The sequence below is a fragment of the Homo sapiens genome, chromosome 12 (genome assembly GCF_000001405.40).
Source record: "Homo sapiens chromosome 12, GRCh38.p14 Primary Assembly".
Classification (NCBI taxonomy): domain Eukaryota; kingdom Metazoa; phylum Chordata; class Mammalia; order Primates; family Hominidae; genus Homo; species Homo sapiens.
Genome location: NC_000012.12, coordinates 39,661,289 through 39,680,650, shown reverse-complemented (window position 1 = coordinate 39,680,650; position 19,362 = coordinate 39,661,289). Strand labels below are relative to the sequence as shown.

Sequence of the window (19,362 nt, the reverse complement as noted above, 5' to 3'; positions counted from 1 at the left end):
GACTGATTTTCCTCTGGGTAGAAACCCAGCAGTGGGATTGCTGGATCAAATGGTAGTTCACTTTTAGTTCTTTAAGGAGTCTCCATACTGTTTTCCATAGTGGTTGTACTAGTTTACATACCCACCAGCAGTGTAAAAGTATTCCCTTTTCACCACATCCATGCCAACATCTATTATTTTTTCATTTTTTAATTATGACCATTCTTGTAGGAGTAAGGTGGTGATTGCATTGTGGTTTTGATTTGCATTTCCTCCATCTTTAGTGATGTTGAGCATTTTTTCATATCTGTTGACCACTTGTATTATCTTCTTTTGCAAATTGTCTATTCACATACTTAGCCCATTTTTTGATGGGATTACTTGTTTTTTTCTTACTGATTTGAGTTCCTTGTAGATTCTGGATGTTAGTCCTTTGTCAGATGCATAGTTTGGGAAGATTTTCTCCCACTTTCTGGGTTGTCTGTTTACTTTGCTGATTATTTCTTTTGCTGTGCAGATTTTTATTTTAATTAGGTTCCATTTGTTTATTTTTGTTTTTGTTGCATTTGCTTTTGGTTCTTGGTCATGAATTCTTCGCCTAAGCCAATGTCTAGAAGAGTTTTTCCGATGTTATCTTCTAGAATTTTTATGGCTTCATGTCTTAAAGTTTTTTATCAATCTTGACTTGATTTTTATATAAGGTGAGAGATGAGGATCCAGTTTCATACTACATGTGGCTTGCCAACTATCCCAGCACCATTTGTTGAATAGGGTATTCTTTCCCCACTTTATGTTTTGGTTTGCTTTGTCGAAGATCAGTTGACTTTAAGTATTTGGCTTTATTTCTGGGTTCTCTATTCTGCTCCATCTGTCCACATACCTATATTTATACCAGTGCCATGCTGTTTTGGTAACCATAGCCCTGTAGTATAGTTTGAAGTCAGGTAATGTGATGCCTCCAGATTTGTTCTTTTTGCTTAGTCTTCCTTTGGCTCTGTGGGGTTTTTGGGGTGCATATGAGTTTTAGGATATTTTTTCTAGTTCTGTGAAGAATGATATTGGTATTTTGATGGGAATTGCATTGCATTTATAGATTGCTTTTGGCAGTATGGTCATTTTTACAGTATTAATTCTACACATCCATGATCATAGGATGTGTTTCCATTTGTTTGTGTCATCTATGATTTCTTTAAGAAGTGTTTCTAGTTTTTCTTGTAGATATCTTTCACCTCCTTGGTTAGGTGTATTTTATTTTTTGCAGCTGTTGTAAAAGGGGTTGAGTTCTTGATTTGATTCTCAGCTTATTCAGTGTTGATGTATAGCAGTTCTACTGCATTGTGTACATTGATTTTGTACCCTGAAACTTTACTGAGTCCATTTATCAGATCTAGGAGCTTTTTGGATAAGTCCTTAGGGTTTTCCAGGTATACTATTATGTCATTGGTGAACAGCAACAGTTTGAGTTCCTCTTTATCTATTTGGATGCCCTTTATTTCCTTCTCTTGTCTGATTGCTCTGGCTAGGACTTCCAGTACTACGTACAATAGAAGTGGTGAACTCTTGTCTGACTGTTCTGGCTAGGACTTCCAGTACTATGTTGAATAGAAGTGGTGAAAGTGGGCATCCTTGTCTTGTTCCAGTTCTTGGGGGGAATGCTTTCAACTTTCCCCCATTCAGTATAATGCTGGCTGTGGGTGTGTCATAGATGGCTTTTATTATCTTAAGGTATGTCCCTTTTATGCTGATTTTGCTGAGGGTTTTAATCATAAAGTGATACTAGATTTTGTAAAATGCTTTTTCTGCATCTATTGAAATGATCATATAATTCTTATTCTTAATTCTGTTTATGTAGTGTATGATATTTATTGACTTATGTGTGTTAAACCATCCCTGCATCCCTGGTATGAAACTCACTTGATCATGATGTATTATCTTTTGGATATGCTGTTGGATTCAGTTAGCTAGTATTTTGTTGAGGATTTTTGCATCTATATTCATCAGGAATATTGGTCTATAGTTTCCTTTTTTTTTTTTTTTTTTTTGTTATGCCTTTTCCTGGTTTTGGTATTAGGGTGATACTGGCTTCACAGAATGATTTAGGGAGGATTCTCTCTTTATCTTTTGGAATAATTTTCAGTAGGATTGGTACCAATTCTTCTTTGAATGGCTGATAAAATTCAGCGTGAATCCATCTGGTCCCGGACTTTTTTTTTGTTGGCAAGTTTTAAAAATGCTGTTTCAATCTCACTACTTGTCATTGGTCTGTTCAGAGTTTCTATTTCTTCCTGGTTTGATCTAGGAGGGTTGTATATTTCTAGGAATTTATCAATCTCCTGTAGATTTTCTAATTTGTATGTGTAAAGGTGTTCACAGTAGCCTTGAATAATTGTTTGTATTTCTGTAGTATCAGTTATAATATCTCCCATTTTGTTTCTAATTGAGCTTATTTGGGTCTTCTCTATTCTTTGTTAATCTTGCTAATGGTCCATCAATTTTATCTTTTCAAAGAACCAGCTTTTCATTTCATTTATCTTTTGTATTGTTTTTTCTGTTTGTTTCAATTTCATTTAGTTCTGCTCTGATCTTTATATTTCTTTTCTTCTGCTGGGTTTGGGCTTGGTTTGTTCTTGTTTCTCTAGTTCCTTGAGGTGTGACCTTAGATTGTCTATTTGTGCACTTCCAGACTTTTTGATGTAGGCATTTAATGCTATTAACTTTCCTCTTAGCACCACTTTTGCTGTATTCCAGAGGTTTCGATAGGTTTTGTCACTACAACTGTTCAGTTCAAAGAATGTTTAGATTTCCGTCTTGATTTCATTGTTGACCCAAAGATCATTTAGGAGCAGATTATTTAATTTCCATGTATTTGTACAGTTTTCAGGGTTCCTTTTGGAGTTGATTTCCAATTTTATCCCACTGTGTTCTGAGAGAGTACTTGATATAATTTGTGTTTTCTTAAATTTATTGTGACTTGTTTTGCAGCCTATCATATGGTCTATCTTGGAGAATGTTCCATGTGCTGATGAAAAGAATGTATATTCTGCAGTTTTGGGGTACAATATTCTGTAAATATCTGTTAAGTGCATTTGTTCTAGGGTACAGTTTAAGCCTATTGTTTCTTTGTTGACTTTCTGTCTTGATGACCTCTCTAATGTTGTCAGTGGGGTACTGAAATCCCCCACTATTATTTGCCATCTATCTCATTTCTTAGGTCTAGTGGTAATTGTTTTATAAATTTGGGAGCTCCTGTGTTAGGTGCATATGTATTTAGGATTGTGATATTTTCCTGTTGTTCTAATCCTTTTATCATTATATAATGTCCTTCTTTGTCTTTTTTAACTGTTTTTGCTTTAAAGTCTGTTTTGTATGATATAAGAATAGCTACGCCTGCTCGCTTTTGGTTTCTGTTTGCATGGAATATCTTTTTCCACCTCTTCCCCTTAAGTTTATGTGAATTCTTATGTGTTACATAAGTCTCTTGAAGACAATGGATACTTGGTGGATGGATTTTTATTCATTCTGACACTAAATGCTAAAGTGAAGCATTTAGGCCATTTATATTCAATGTTAGTATTGACATGTGAAGTACTTTTCTATTCATCATGTTAGTTGTTGCCTGGATATCTTGGTGTTTTTTTTTTTTTCATTGTGTTATTGTTTTACAAGCCCTGTGAGATTTCTGCTTTAAGGAGGTTCTATTTTGGTGTATTTCAAAATTTAGAACTCCTTTTAGCATTTCTTGTAGTGCTGGCTTGGTAGTGGTGAATTCTCTCAGCATGTTTGTCTGAAAAATACTTTATCTCACATTATGAAGCTTAGTTTCAATGGATAGAAAATCCTTGGCTTATATTATTTTGTTTAAGGAGGCTAAAGATAGGATCCCAATTCCTTCTGGCTTGTAGGGTTTCTGCTGAGAAATCTCTTGTTAATCTTACAGGTTTTCCTTTGTAGGTTACCTGATGCTTTTGCCTCACAGTTCTTAAAATTCTTTCCTTTGTCTTGACTTTAGATAACTTGATAACTATTTACCTAGGTGATCATCTTTTTGTGATGAATTTCCTGGGTGTTCTTTGAGCTTCTTGTATTTGAATATCTAGATCTCTAGTAAGACTAGGGAAGTTATCCTCGATTATTACCTCAAATAAGTTTTCCAAACTTTTAGATTTCTCTTCTTACTCAGGAACACTGATTATTCTTATGTTTGGTTGTTTAACATAATCCCAAATTTCTTGAAGGCTTTGTTCATTTATTTTTTATTAATTAGTTTTTCTTTGTCTTTGCTGGATTGGGTTAATTCAAAAGCCTTGTCTTCAAACTCAAGTTCTTTCTTCTACTTGTTCGATTCTATTGTTGAAACTTTCCAGTGTATTTTGTATTTCTCTAAGTGCATCTTTCACTTACAGAAGTTTTGATTGTCTTTTCTTTATGACATCTATTTCTCTGAAGACCTTTTCATCCATATCTGGTTTTTTTTTTTTATTTCCTTAAGTTGGTGTTCTCCCTTTTCTAGTACCTCCTTGAGTAGTATATTAATCAACCTTCTGAATTCTTTATCTGGCAATTCAGAGATTTCTTCTTGGTTTGGATCCATTGCTGGAGAACTAGTGTGGTCTTTTGGGGGTGTTACGGAAACTTGTTTTGTCATAGTACCAGAATTACTTTTCTGGTTCCTTCTCATTTGGATGGACTGTCTCAGTGGAAAGGATCTGGAACACAGGGGCTGCTGTTCAGATTCTTTTGTCCCACAGGGTGATCCTTTGATGTGGTGCTCTCCCTGTTCCCCTATGGGTGGGGCTGCACATGAGCCAGACTGCAGTGATTGGGTCTAGCCCCCCAGTGAGGCTATCAGGCTCCAGGTTGGTGCTGGGTAATGTCTACAAAGAGTCCTGTGATGTGATGAGGTGATCCATCTTCAGGTCTCCCAGCTGTGGATACCAGCACCTGCTCCAATGGAGGTGGCAGGGGAGTGATGTGGACTCTGTGGGAGTCCTTGGTTGTAGTTTTTAATGCACTGGTTTTCTCAAATGCTGCTTATGCTAGCAGTGAAGTTGTCACATGAACAGACTCAGGACCTCTGGATAGCCAGGATGTTGCACGTGGTAGAATTAGCTGTTGTTTTCTCCTTCTTTGGAGCAGGCTTGTTCTGAGTTGCTATAATGGACTGAGTTGGCTGGCCTCCAGCCCAGAGGTGGCACTTTCAAGAGAGCACCACCTGTGGTAGTAGAAGGGGTATGCAAGTTTGCCCTACATTGGCCAGGATAAATTTTCAGGTTTCTCAAGCAATAGGTGGGGCCATAGAGTTCCCAAGAGTTTATGTCTTTTGTCTTTGGCTACCAAAGTGGGAAAAAAAAAATCAGGTAAGGGCAGAGTTAGAAAGGTCTGTGCTCAGACCCTCCTTGGGCAGTGCTTGCTGCAGCCACTGTGGGGGATGGGGGTGGTTCTCAGGCCAATGAAGTTATGTTCCACAGAGGATTATGGCTACCTCTGCTGCATCATACAGTTCATCACTGAGAGAAAGCCTCCGGTGATAGGCTTCTCTCAGCTCCCACACAGCAAGTAAAGCCTGTCTCACTCTCATCATGCCCACCAACAGTGCCAAGTTTACATCCAGGCAATGGGCACACAGTGCTGAGATCTTGCCCCAGGCTATGAGCCTCCCCACTAAGAAAGCAAGCAGGGCTCCCAGGCCTTGCCCCTCCCTGTCTACCCACACTGTTGGCTGCAGCTTCTGCACTCATATCTGCATTTCCCATTCGCACCCCACCGCCAAGATTCTGCTCATGAAAATTCATGCTTAGTCAAAATTATTACAGAGTTCAGTCAGAAGCTTCTTTCACCCTGTGGCCCCTCCTCAATTCCACTGGGTACCTTCCCCAAGGACCCCTGTGAGAGAAGGCCAGGGATGGCTTCCCTGGGCTCAAGCTGGGGACCAGGAGTGTCTACAGGGCTCTTCCAGCTGCTTCTTCCACTTTTATATTTTGCTTAGCTCCCTACTTCCATTTCAGCTCTAGGGATGGTTAAATCCTTCTCCCATGATCTGGATTTCTGGTTCCCCAGTGGAGATGTGTGTTTGGAAGCAGGCTATCCCCCCCTCACACTTTGGGAACTGAATTTTTTGGCTGTCTCATGGAGTTTGCAGAGCAAGCCACATCTTTCAAAGGGTCTTTGAATTCTTTTGGTTTTCCTGGTATGTTTCTGCAGTGCTTTTTGGAGTAAAAGTTCATGATGTGAGTCTCTACCTGCTGTTCTGTCCAAGTGGGAGCTGCATACTAGTCCTGTCTCTTACCTGCCATTTTCCAAAATCATGATTTTTAAAAGGTATTTTAAGCATCTGACTCAGTGGAATCACTCTCTAAGAGATGTGGACAATACAGAAATGTAGAGTAGTTATTGCCAACAAGAAATTTACAGTATAAAAGAGGAAGAAAAAAATTACAAAGTGACAGGTATTATCCTACAGTCAAATGCTAAAACAGCAAACAGAAGAAAGAAGAGATTCTTCTGCTTGAGAAAAATTAAGGCAGATGGCATCTGATTTGGGAACTAAAGTTGGAAAGGATTCTTACTTCTAGAGATGACAGAGAGCAATTATCCTAAAAAACTGAAAAGAATTAAGACAAGTAAGTCCAACTTGTTAAACAATTTATGTTTTCCTATAGATAAATATAAAATTCATTAAAAATTATGGACTAAAATTTTAATAAAAACATTCATTATCTAAATAAGCCTTTTATGTGTATTCAACAAATATTTAATGTGTCCACTATGTAGTAGGGAGACAACAGAGGTTATAGTCTAGTGAAGGATGATAATAGACAAATAAAAGACAATGAACCACTAACAAATACAGTGGATAAGAAATAGAGAAGTAAATAAATATAAAAGATAATTACAAATACTACCAGATCACATGATGGGATGCCTTGTGTTGGAGGTCGTGTTTCAGATAGTTTGGTCAGGAAAGTCACTAGAGTAAGGAAGTGATAAATACATTAAAGATACAGAATGGTTAGATACATGAAAACAGGAATAGGCAAACTGCATAATCAGTAGAAATGCAAAATTTGCAGCATGTTTGAGAAACAGAAGAGGGGTAAAGCTGGAATAGAATCAGTGAAAGAAAACTTATGACCTAGGGCTATAAAGTACAAAAGGGCCCAGATTATGCAGAGCCTTGCTTTTGAAAAGAGCAATAAGAAATCATTGAAATAAATGTTCCGAGCACAAAAGTAAAACTGACATTTTGCCTTGGAAAACAGCAGTCTGACTCCTGAATGAATTTCCTGAAGAATGAATTTCAGGATCTCCATCTGACTAAAATGAAATAACAGGGGCCAGACCGACTCTACTAACTAATAAAATTTAAAAACTGGAGGATAGTTTCAAGATGGCTGACTAGAGGCATAGGACACTTTTCCACAAAGAATCAAAGTAGTCAGTAGATAGTTACACTTCAAAGAGAAAATGAAAGAGAACACACTGGAATTCAACATAGAAGTGACAGGAAACACCTGGGGCACAGAAGGAGAGGGAGGCTAGGCAGATGGCCTAGCCTCCCTACAATAGCAGAGCCAGGAGAAGCTCCCCAGTGTGGGAAAAGGTTAAATGAGAGATCCCCAGCAGTCCACATTCTCATCACAGACTCCTATAATCCTGGCCACATTGGAGTCCCTCAACCCTCATGGGCTCTGAGAATGGAATGGGAAGGTCCCCAAAGTCCCTGAGGTGGCACTGCTCCAGTAAGGGAGTTAATGCCAGGTCCCAACAAACCCCAAATCTGAAGCAGCTCCTTCAGGGCATCATTTGATAGCCCAGGCCCCAACAGATGGTATCCTGCCCCAGGGCCCAAAAAACCCTTGCATCTACATATCCCTGGAGCCCCACTGACATTTTCCCATGTCCATCTAGATGGGTGCTGCAGTAAGACACCAGTTGGACCCTGTGGATCAGCAGAGCCCCCCAGTACTCTAGCCCACAGTGTCCTGCACACTAGGGAAAAGGTGGTGTAGCACACCAGGAAGACTGCCCCTGGTACAAAGGGTGCCACAGCATGTGCTCCCCAGAGACAGAAGCCTGCCGGCCTGGGACTGCTATCACTTATAGCTGCCCCCAGTGACAGGGTGGCCACAAACTTGTGCATGCGCTGAAGATAGGTTCTCCCCGTCAACTGCCACTGCCAATTCTCAAAGCATGCTCTACCCAGAGCCTGAAATCTGCCTGTCTCAGGCAGCTACCAAAGATAGAAACTGCCTCCCCCTAGCAGCAGAGCCACCTCACACTTGCATGCCCCTGAGGACAGGCTTTCCCCACCCACTGCCTCTGCTGCCACTGCTACCCAGGCACACTGCTCAAACACCGGGGACCAGCCTGCCCTGTTCACTACAGCCTACACCCATGCACCATCAGGGGCCCTGAGAACAGGCCCACCCAGCCTGGCACCATCCCTTCCACACACCCCTGCATCTGCCAAGTCCAAGCATGATGCTTGAGGCCCCAGGAATTCTCTTGCCCCATCAGCCACCCCTGATGCACACACATACACCACCAGGTGGCTTAATAACAGCCCCACACCACCTGCCACCACCAGTGCCACTTGTATGCCTTCCAGAGTCCTGGCGCTTGTCCTGCCCCACCCACCATAGCCTGTGCCCATGTACACCACTGTAAGGACTTAAGAAGAGGCCTGCCTCACCTAGCACTAGCCCCCACTGCCCAAGCATACCTCCTGGGGGTCTGGGGATCATCTTACTCCATCAGTTGCCCCAGGTACATGTGCACACCACCTGAGTCTAACAACAGACCCAGAAAACCTGCCACCAGTGTGCAATCTACCCATCCAGAGGCCTGGAGATCTCCCCATCCATCCACCACAGCTGGCATCTGCACATTCCTTCCCAGAGCTTGAGGATGGGCTTCACCAGCCTGCTGCTACCACCACTGCCAGCACCCACACACACACACCACCCAGGGGCCTAGGGACTAGCCAGGCCAACCTGTCAAAGCTACCACTATCACCAACAAATGCCACCTGGAAACCTGAGGGTTGTCCGTCCCACCACCATGACTATCATCACCCACACCACATACACTGTATAGGGGCCCAAGGACTTACCCACCCACCTGGTCTGCCACTACCACAACCAGAACCTGAGCAAGCTGCCAGGAGGATCAAGAATTGGCCCACCTGGATCTGTCAATGCCAGCACCTAAACATGCTGTCTAGAAATCCAAGAACAGGCACACTCAGCATGCAATTGGGGCCCAAAGACTGGCCCACCTGGCATCCCATCCCCAGAAAAATCTCACCATAGCCTCCTCTAACAATTTTGTGGCCTAAGTCAATGAGGAAATCAGACACCACTGACGGTGTGTACAGTTAAAGAAATTATACAGAGACTACACTACTGCATGTATCCAGAATCAAAATCCAAGTGTCCTACCCAACCAACTTTATGGATACACCTATAGGAAAAAGTCTTCCCCTGTGAAAGCCAATCCAAAACATCAGAAGAAGAAACTATTACACCTGGTGCTCATATATCAATGAAAGAACACAAACATGAAAAAGCAAGGAAATATGGCACCTTCAAAAGAACACATTAATTCTCCAACAACAGATTCTAACAAAAAAGAAATTTATGAAATACCTGAAAAAGAATTCGAAATCATGATATAAAAGAAGCTCAGTGAGATAACAAAGAACACAGATAGAAAATACAAAGAAATCAGCAAACCAATTTAGAATATAAATGAGAAATTCACAAAGAGAGATATCACAAAAAAGAAGTCCTGGAAATGAAAAAGTCAATGAATGAAATGAAAAATACAATCAGGAGCATCAATAGATTAGATCAAACAGAAGAGTTTCAGAACTTAAAGATAGGTCTTTCAAAATAACCCAGTCAGATGAATTTAAAAAAAAAAAAAAGAAGAAGAAATGTAGAAAGACGTGACATATGACACACCATAAAGTGACAAAATATTCAAATGTTGAGTATCCCGAAAGGTGAAGAAAAGTTTAATGGTATAGAAAACCTATTTGATAAAATAATAGCTGAAAACTTCTCAAGACTAGCAAGCAATTTAGATATCCAGATAACTAAAGGATCCCAAAAGAAATACAACCCAAAAAGGTCTTATCTCCCACCACATTATAGTCAAACAGTCAAAAGTCAAAGACAGGTCAGGCGCAGTGGTTCATGCCTCTAATCCCAGTACTTTGGGAGGCCAAAGTGGGCAGATCACCTGAGGTCAGGAGTTCAAGACCAGTGTGGCCAACATGGCAAAAATCCATCGGAACTAAAAATACAAAAATTAGCTGGGTGTGGTGGCATGCACCTGTAGTCCCAGTTATTGAGGAGGCTGAGGCACAAGAATTGCTTGCTCCCAGGAGGCAGAGGTTGCAGTGAGCTGAGATGCCACCATTACACTCCAGCCTGGGTGATGGAGCAAGACTCTATCTCAAAAAAATAAATAAATAAAAACTCAGATGGCCAAATAGGAACAGCTCCAGTCTACAGCTCCCAGCGTGAGCTACACAGAAGACAGGTGATTTCTGCATTTCCAACTGAGGTACCGGGTTCATCTCACTGGGGAGTGTCGGAAAGTGCATGCAGGACAGTGGGGGCAGCATCCAGAGTGAGCCTAAGCAGGACAAGGCATCGCCTCACTTGGGAAGCGCAAGGGATCAGGGAATTCCCTCTCCTAGTCAAAGAAAGGGGTGACAGACGGCACCTGAAAAATCGGGTCACTCCCACCCTAATACTGTGCTTTTCCAACAGTCTTAGCAAACAGCACAACAGGAAATTATACCCCACACCTGGCTCAGAGGGTCCTACACCCATGGAGCCTCACTCATAGCTAGCACAGCAGTCTGAGAACAAACTGCAAGGCGGCAGCCAGGCTGGGAGGGGCGCCCACCACGGCGGAGGCTTAAGTAGGTAAACAAAGCAGCCAGGAAGCTCCAACTGGGTGGAGCCCACCGCAGCTCAAGGAGGCCTGCCTGCCTCTGTAGACTCCACCTCTGGGGGCAGGGCATAGACAAACAAAAGGCAGCAGAATCCTCTGCACACTTAAATGTCCCTGTCTGACAGCTTTGAAGAGAGTAGTAGTTCTCCCAGCACGCAGCTGGAGATCTCAGAATGGACAGACTGCGCCCTCAAGTGGGTCCCTGACGCCCGAGTAGCCTAACTGGGATGCACCCCCCAGTAGGGGCAGACTGACACCACACAGGGCCGGGTACTCCTCTGAGAAAAAACTTCCAGAGGAACAATAAGGCAGCAACATTTGCTTCTCACCAATATCTGCTGTTCTGCAGCCTCCCCTGCTGATACCCAGGCAAACAGGGTCTGGAGTGGACCTCCAGCATACTCCAACAGACCTGCAGCTGAGGGTCCTGACTGTTAGAAGGAAAACTAACAAACAGAAAGGACATCCACACCAAAACCCCATATGTATGTCACCATCATCAAAGACCAAAGGTAGATAAAACCACAAAGATGGGGAAAAAACGGAGCAGAAAAACTGGAAACTCTAAAAATCAGAGCGTCTCTCCTACTCTAAAGGAACGCAGCTCCTCACCAGCAAGGGAACAAAGCTGGATGGAGAATGACTTTGATGAGTTGAGAGAAGAAGGCTTCAGATGATCAAACTACTCCAAGCTAAAGGAGGAAGTTCGAACCCATGGCAAAGAAGTTAAAAACCTTGAAAAAAATTAGACGAATGGCCAACTAGAATAACCAATGCAGAGAAGTCCTTAAAGGACCTGATGGAGCTGAAAACAAAGGCATGAGAACTGCGTGATGAATGCACAAGCCTCAGTAGCCGATTCGATCAACTGGAAAAAACGGTGTTGGTGATGGAAGATCAAACGAATGAAATGAAGCAAGAGAGAAGTTTAGAAAAAAAATAACAAAAAAAAATGAACAAAGCCTCCAAGAAATATGGGACTATGTGAAAAGACCAAATCTATGTCTGATTGGTGTACCTGAAAGTGACAGGGAGAACGGAACCGAGTTGGAAAACACTCTGCAGGATATTATCCAGGAGAACCTCCCCAGTCTAGCAAGGCAGGCCAACATTTAACAGAGAACACCACAAAGATACTCCTCGAGAAGAGCAACTCCAAGACACATAATTGTCAGATTCACCAAAGTTGAAATGAAGGAAAAAATGTTAAGGGCAGCCAGAGAGAAAGGTTGGGTTACCCACAACGGGAAGCCCATCAGACTAAGAGCTGATCTCTCGGCAGAAACTCTACAAGCCAGAAGAGAGTGGGGGCCAATATTCAACATTCTTAAAGAAAAGAATTTTCAACCCAGAATTTCATATCCAGCCAAACTAAGCTTCATAAGTGAAGGAGAAATCAAATCCTTTACAGACAAGCAAATGCTGAGAGATTTTGTCACCACCAGGCCTGCCCTAAAAGAGCTCCTGAAGGAAGCAATAAACATGGAAAGGAACAACTGGTACCAGCCACTGCAAAAACATGCCTAATTGTAAAGACCATCGAGACTAGGAAGAAACTGCATCAACTAACAAGCAAAATAACAAGCTAACATCATAATGAAAGGATCAAATTCACACATAACAATATTAACCTTAAATGTAAATGGGCTAAATACTCCAATTAAAAGACACAGAGTGGAAAATTGGATAAAGAGTTAAGACCCATCAGTGTGCTGTATTCAGGAGACCCATCTCACCCGCAGAGACACACATAGGCCCAAAATAAAGGGATGGAGGAAGATCTACCAAGCAAATGGAAAACAAAAAAAGGCAGGGGTTGCAATCCTAGTCTCTGATAAAACAGACTTTGAACAAACAAAGATCAAAAGAGACAAAGAAGGCCATTACATAATGGTAAAGGAATCAATTCAACAAGAAGAGCTAACTATCCTAAATATATATGCACCCAATACAGGAGCGCCCAGATTCACAAAGCAAGTCATTAGAGACCTAGAAAGAGACTTAGACTCCCACACATTAATAATGGGAGACTTTAACACCCCACTGTCAACATTAGACAGATCAATGAGACAGAAAGTTAACAAGATATCCAGGAATTGAACTCAGCTCTGCACCAAGCAGACCTAACAGACATCTACAGAACTCTCCACCCCAAATCAACAGAATATACATTCTTCTCAGCACGACACCGCACTTATTCCAAAATTGACCACATAGTTGGAAGTAAAGCACTCCTCAGCAAATGTAAAAGAACAGAAATTATAACAAACTGTCTCTCAGACCACAGTGCAATCAAACTAGAATTCAGGATTAAGAAACTCACTCAAAACCGCTAAACTACATGGAAACTGAAAAACCTGCTCCTGAATGACTACTGGGTACATAAAGAAATGAAGGCAGAAATAAAGATATTCTTTGAAACCAATGAGAACAAAGACACAACATACCAGAATCTCTGGGACACATTCAAAGCAGTGTATAGAGGGAAATTTCTAGCACTAAATGCCCACAAGAGAAAGCAGGAAAGATCTAAAATTGACACCCTAACACCACAATTAAAAGAACTAGAGAAGCAAGAGCAAACACATTCAAAAGCTAGCAGAAGGCAAGAAATAAGTAAGATCAGAGCAGAACTGAAGGAAATAGAGACACAAAAAACCCTTCAAAAAATTAATGAATCCAGGAGCTGGTTTTTTGAAAAGATCAACAAAACTGATGGACCGCTAGCAAGACTAATAAAGAAGAAAAGAGAGAAGAATCAAATAGATGCAATAAAAAATGATAAAGGGGATATCACTACCAATCCCACAGAAATACAAACTACCATCAGAGAATACTATAAACACCTCTACGCAAATAAACTAGAAAATCTAGAAGAAAAGGATAAATTCCTCGACACATACACTCTCCCAAGACTAAACCAGGAAGAAGTTGAATCTCTGAATAGACCAATAACAGGCTCTGAAATTGAGGCAATAATTAATAGCTTACCAACCAAAACAAGTCCAGGACCAGATGGATTCACAGCCGAATTCTACCAAAGGTACAAGGAGGAGCTGGTACCATTTCTTCTGAAACTATTCCAATCAGTAGAAAAAGAGGGAATCCTCCCTAACTCATTTTATGAGGCTAGCATCATCCTGATACCAAAGCCGGGCAGAGACACAACAAAAAAAGAGAACTTTAGACCAATATTCCTGATGAACATCGATGCAAAAGTCCTCAATAAAATACTGGCAAACTGAATCCAGCAGCATATCAAAAAGCTTATCCACCATGATCAAGTGGGCTTCATCCCTGGGGTGCAAGGCTGGTTCAACATATGCAAATCAATAAACGTAATCCAGCATATAAACAGAACCAACAACAAAAGCCACATGATTATCTCAATAGATGCAGAAAAGGCCTTTGACAAAATTCAACAACCCTTCATGCTAAAAGCTCTCAATAAATTAGGTATTGATGGGACATATTTCAAAATAATAAGAGCTATTTATGACAAACCCACAGCCAATATCATACTGAAAGGGCAAAAACTGAAAGCATTCCCTTCAAAACCTGGCACAAGACAGGGATGCCCTCTCTCACCACTCCTATTCAACATAGTATTGGAAGTTCTGGCCAGGGCAATTAGGCAGGAGAAGGAAATAAAGGATAATCAAGTAGGAAAAGAGGAAGTTAAATTGTTTGCAGATGACATGATTGTATACCTAGAAAACCCCATCGTCTCAGCTCAAAATCTCCTTAAGCTGATAGGCAACTTCAGCAAAGTCTCAGGATACAAAATCAATGTGCAAAAATCACAAGCATTCTTATACACCAATAACAGACAAACAGAGCCAAATCATGAGTGAACTCCCATTCACAATTGCTTCCAAGAGAATAAAATACCTAGGAATCCAACTTACAAGGGATGTGAAGGAACTCTTCAAGGAGAACTACAAACCACTGCTCAATGAAATAAAAGAGGATACAAACAAATGGAAGAACATTCCATGCTCATGGGTAGGAAGAATCAATATCGTGAAAATGGCCATACTGCCCAAGGTAATTTATAGATTCAATGCCATCCCCATCAAGCTACCAATGACTTTCTTCACAGAATTGGAAAAAACTACTTTAAAGTTCATATGGAACCAAAAAAGAGCCCGCATCGCCAAGTCAATCCTAAGCCAAAAGAACAAAGCTGGAGGCATCACGCTACCTGACTTCAAACTATACTACAAGGCTACAGTAAACAAAACAGCATGGTACTGGTACCAAAACAGAGATATAGAACAATGGAACAGAACAGAGCCCTCAGAAATAATGCCACACATCTACAACCATCTGATCTTTGACAAACCTGACAAAAACAAGAAATGGGGAAACGATTCCCTATTTAATAAATGATGCGGGGAAAACTGGCTAGCCATATGTAGAAAGCTGAAACTGGATCCCTTCCTTACACCTTATACAAAAACTAATTCAAGATGGATTAAAGACTTACATGTTAGACCTAAAACCATAAAAACCCTAGAAGAAAACCTAGGCAATACCATTCAGGACATAGGCATGGGCAAGGACTTCATGTCTAAAACACCAAAAGCAATGGCAACAAAAGCCAAAATTGACAAATGGGATCTAATTAAACTAAAGAGCTTCTGCACAGCAAAAGAAACTATGATCAGAATGAACAGGCAACCTACAGAATGGGAGAAAATTTTTGCAATCTATCCATCTGACAAATGGCTAATATCCAGAATCTACAATGAACTCCAAAAAATTTACAAGAAAAAAACAACCGCATCAAAAAGGGGGCAAAGGATATGAACAGACACTTCTCAAAAGAAGACATTTATGCAGCCAACAGACACATGAAAAAATGCTCATCATCACTGTCCATCAGAGAAATGCAAATCAAAACCACAATGAGATACCATCTCACACCAGTTAGAATGGCGATTATTAAAAAGCCAGGAAACAACAGATGCTGGAGAGGATATGGAGAAATAGGAACACTTTTATACTGTTGGTGGGACTGTAAACTAGTTCAACCATTGTGGAAGATGGTGTGGTGATTCCTCAGGGATCTAGAACTAGAAATACCATTTGACCCAGCAATCCCATTACTGGGTATATACCCAAAGGATTATAAATCATGCTGCTATAAAAACACATGCACACGTATGTTTATTGTGGCACTATTCACAATAGCAAAGACGTGGAACCAACCCAAATGTCCAACAATGATAGACTGGATCAAGAAAATGTGGCACATATACACCATGGAATACTATGCAGCCATAAAAAAGGATGAGTTCATGTCCTTTGTAGGGACATGGATGAAGCTGGAAACCATCATTCTCAGCAAACTAGCGCAAGGACAATAAACCAAACACCACATGTTCTCACTCATAGGTGGGAATTGAACAATGAGAACACATGGACACAGGAAGGGGAACATCACACACCAGGGCCTGTTGTGGGGTGGGGGGAGGGTATAGGGATAGCATTAGGAGAAATACCTAATGTTAAATGACGAGTTAATGGGTGCAGCACACCAACATGGCATATGTATACATATGTAACTAACCTGCACATTGTGCACATGTACCCTAAAACTTAAAGTTTAAAAAAAAAAAACTCAAAGACAAATAATTCTAAAAACAAGAGAGAAGTTGTCATATGTAAGTGAATTCTTATTAGACTAACAATGAATTTTTAACAGAAATCTTATAGGCCAGGAGAGAAAGGGATGATATATTCTGGTAGCCAGGAATACCCAGAAAGGCTATCCTTCAAAAATGAAAGAGAAATAAAAACATTTCCAAGCCAAAAAAGAAAAGAAAAGAAAAAGAAAGCAGGAGATTCATCACCACTAGATCTGCCCTACAAGAATTGCTTGGTGACTTTTTCACCTCAAAGTGAAGGGATGATATCTACTATAACGAAAATGCATGAAAGTATAAAACTAACTGGTAGAGCAAAGATACAAATAAGGAAGAAAAACGACTCAAATGTTACCACACCAGAAAATCAAACCATTAATATATATAGTAAGAGAGAAATAACAAAAGAAATACAACCAGAAGACAATTGATAACATGACAGAAATCAGTCCTCACATATCAAGAGTAACCTTGAATGTAAACTGATTAAAATTTCCCATTAAAAGATATGGATCCACTGCATGAATAAGAAACCATAACACAACTATATGCTACCCACAAGAAACTCAATTCATCTCTTAAGACATATATAGACTGAAAGTAAAGGGATGTAAAAAGATATTCCACACAAAAGGAAACCAAAAGTGAGCAGGCTTTAAGTCAAAAACACTTCAAAGAAACCAAAGGTCATTATATAATGGTAAAAGGATCAATTCAGCAGGAGGATACAACATTTCTAAATATATATATATGCACCCAACACTAGAGCAACAAGATTCATAAAGCAAATACTATTAGATCTAAATAGAGAGAGACACCAATACAATAAGAGTTGGAGACTTCAATGCCACACTCTCAGCATAAGACAGATCAACTACACAAAATATTGAAGAGGAGAAAATCTTCCTAACTCATTATATGAAGCCGGATTACTCTGATATCAAAACCAGGCAAGGATACAACAAAAAGAAAATTATAGGCCAATATTCCTGATGAATAGACACAAAAATCCTCAACAATACACTAGCAAACCAAATCCAAAAGTACTTAAAAAAAGATAATACATGATCATCAAGTGGATTATCCTAGGGATATAAGAATGGTTCAACATATGCAAATCAATCAATGTGATATAAAACATCAACAGAATGAAGGACAAAAACCATATTATCCTACCAATTAATTCAGGAAAAGCATGCAATAAAATTCAACACCCATTCATGATAAAAACATTCAACAAACTAAGCACAGAAGGAACATATCTGAATATAATAAAGGTCATCTATGACAAGCCCACAGGTATCATACTGAATGGGAAAAACCTGAAAGCCTTTCTTTTAAGAACTAGAACAAGACAAAGATGCTCTTTCACCACTCCTATTCAACATGGTATTGGAGGTCCTAGCCAGAGCAATGAGGCAAGAGAAAGAAACAAAAGGCATCCAAACTGGAAAAGGGAAAGTCAAATTGTCCCTCTTTGCAGATGACATGATCTTATATTTAGAAAAACCTAGACTCCACCAAAAAAAAAAGCTCTTAGATTTGATAAATTCAGTAAAGTTACAGGACAGAAAGTCAACAAACATCAGTAGAATATGTATACATCAATAATGAACTATCTGAAAAACAAATCAAGAAAGCAATCCCATTATATACCTACAACATATAAAAATAAAATATCTAGGAATAAATTTAACTAAGGAGGTGAAAGGCCTCTACAAAGGAAACTACAAATATTTGATAAAATAAATTGATGAAGATACAAATGGAAAGACATCCAATGCTCCTGGATTGGAATAATGAGTATTGTTAAAATAATCATACTACCCAAAGCAATCTACAGAGTCAATGTAATCTCTGTCAATAAATTTTTCACAGACATCGAAAAACAATCCTAAAATTTGTATGGAACCCAATAAACAGCCAAAGTAGCCAAAGCAATCCTGAGCAAAAAGAACAAAGGTGGAGGCATCACACTACCCAACTTCAAAATATATTACAAGGCTATAGTAACCAAACAGCATGATATTGATACAAAAACAGGCACATGGACCAATGAAACAGAATGAGAACCCAGAAATAAACCCATATATTTACAGCCAACTGATTGTTGACAAAGGTGTCACAAATATATCTTGGGGAAAGGACACCTTCAATAAATGGTGCTGGGTAAACTAGAAATCCATATGTGGAAGAATTAAACTAGACAACCACTTCTCACCATATACAAAAATCAACTCAAAATATTAAAGACTTAAATGTATAGCTTGAAACAATAAAACTATTAGAAGAAAATACAGAAGAAACACTCCAGGACATTGGTCTAGGCAAAGATTTTATGACTTAGACTTCAAAAGCAGAGACAAGAAGAAAAAAATAGATAAGTGGGACTATATTAAACTAAAAAGCTTCTTCACAGTAAAGGAAACAATCATCAGAGTGAAGAGACAACCTGTTGAATGAAAGAAAATATTTGCAAATTATTAATCTGACAAAGGACTAATATCCAGAATATACAAGAAACTCAAATGACTCAACAGGAAAAAAACAAACAACCCGTTAAAAAGTGGGCAAAGGATATAGACACTTCTCAAAAGAAGACATACAAATGCCCAAAAGGTATATTTAAAAAAAAATGCTCAACGTCACTAGTCATTAGGGAAATGCAAATCAAAATCACGATAAGGTATCATCTTATTTCAGTTAGAATGGCTATTATCAAAAAACAAAAAAATAACAAACAGCAAGGACATGGAGAAAAGAG

General features: G+C 39.8%; 1 protein-coding gene across 5 annotated transcripts in view, besides 1 other annotated feature; it reads right to left on the bottom strand.

The window, feature by feature from the left end:
- Positions 1-19,362, bottom strand: part of REDIC1 (regulator of DNA class I crossover intermediates 1) — a 282,118-nt gene that overhangs the window by 227,650 nt on the left and 35,106 nt on the right. The window lies entirely within an intron of this gene.
- Positions 4,720-4,910: a silencer, noted in NCBI's record as "fragment chr12:40069543-40069733 (GRCh37/hg19 assembly coordinates)". NCBI's record gives its function as "represses an EF-1alpha promoter that drives an FKBP-Casp9 reporter gene in an ReSE screen in K562 erythroleukemia cells {active_cell/tissue: K562}" and the evidence as "EXISTENCE:reporter gene assay evidence [ECO:0000049][PMID:32094911]".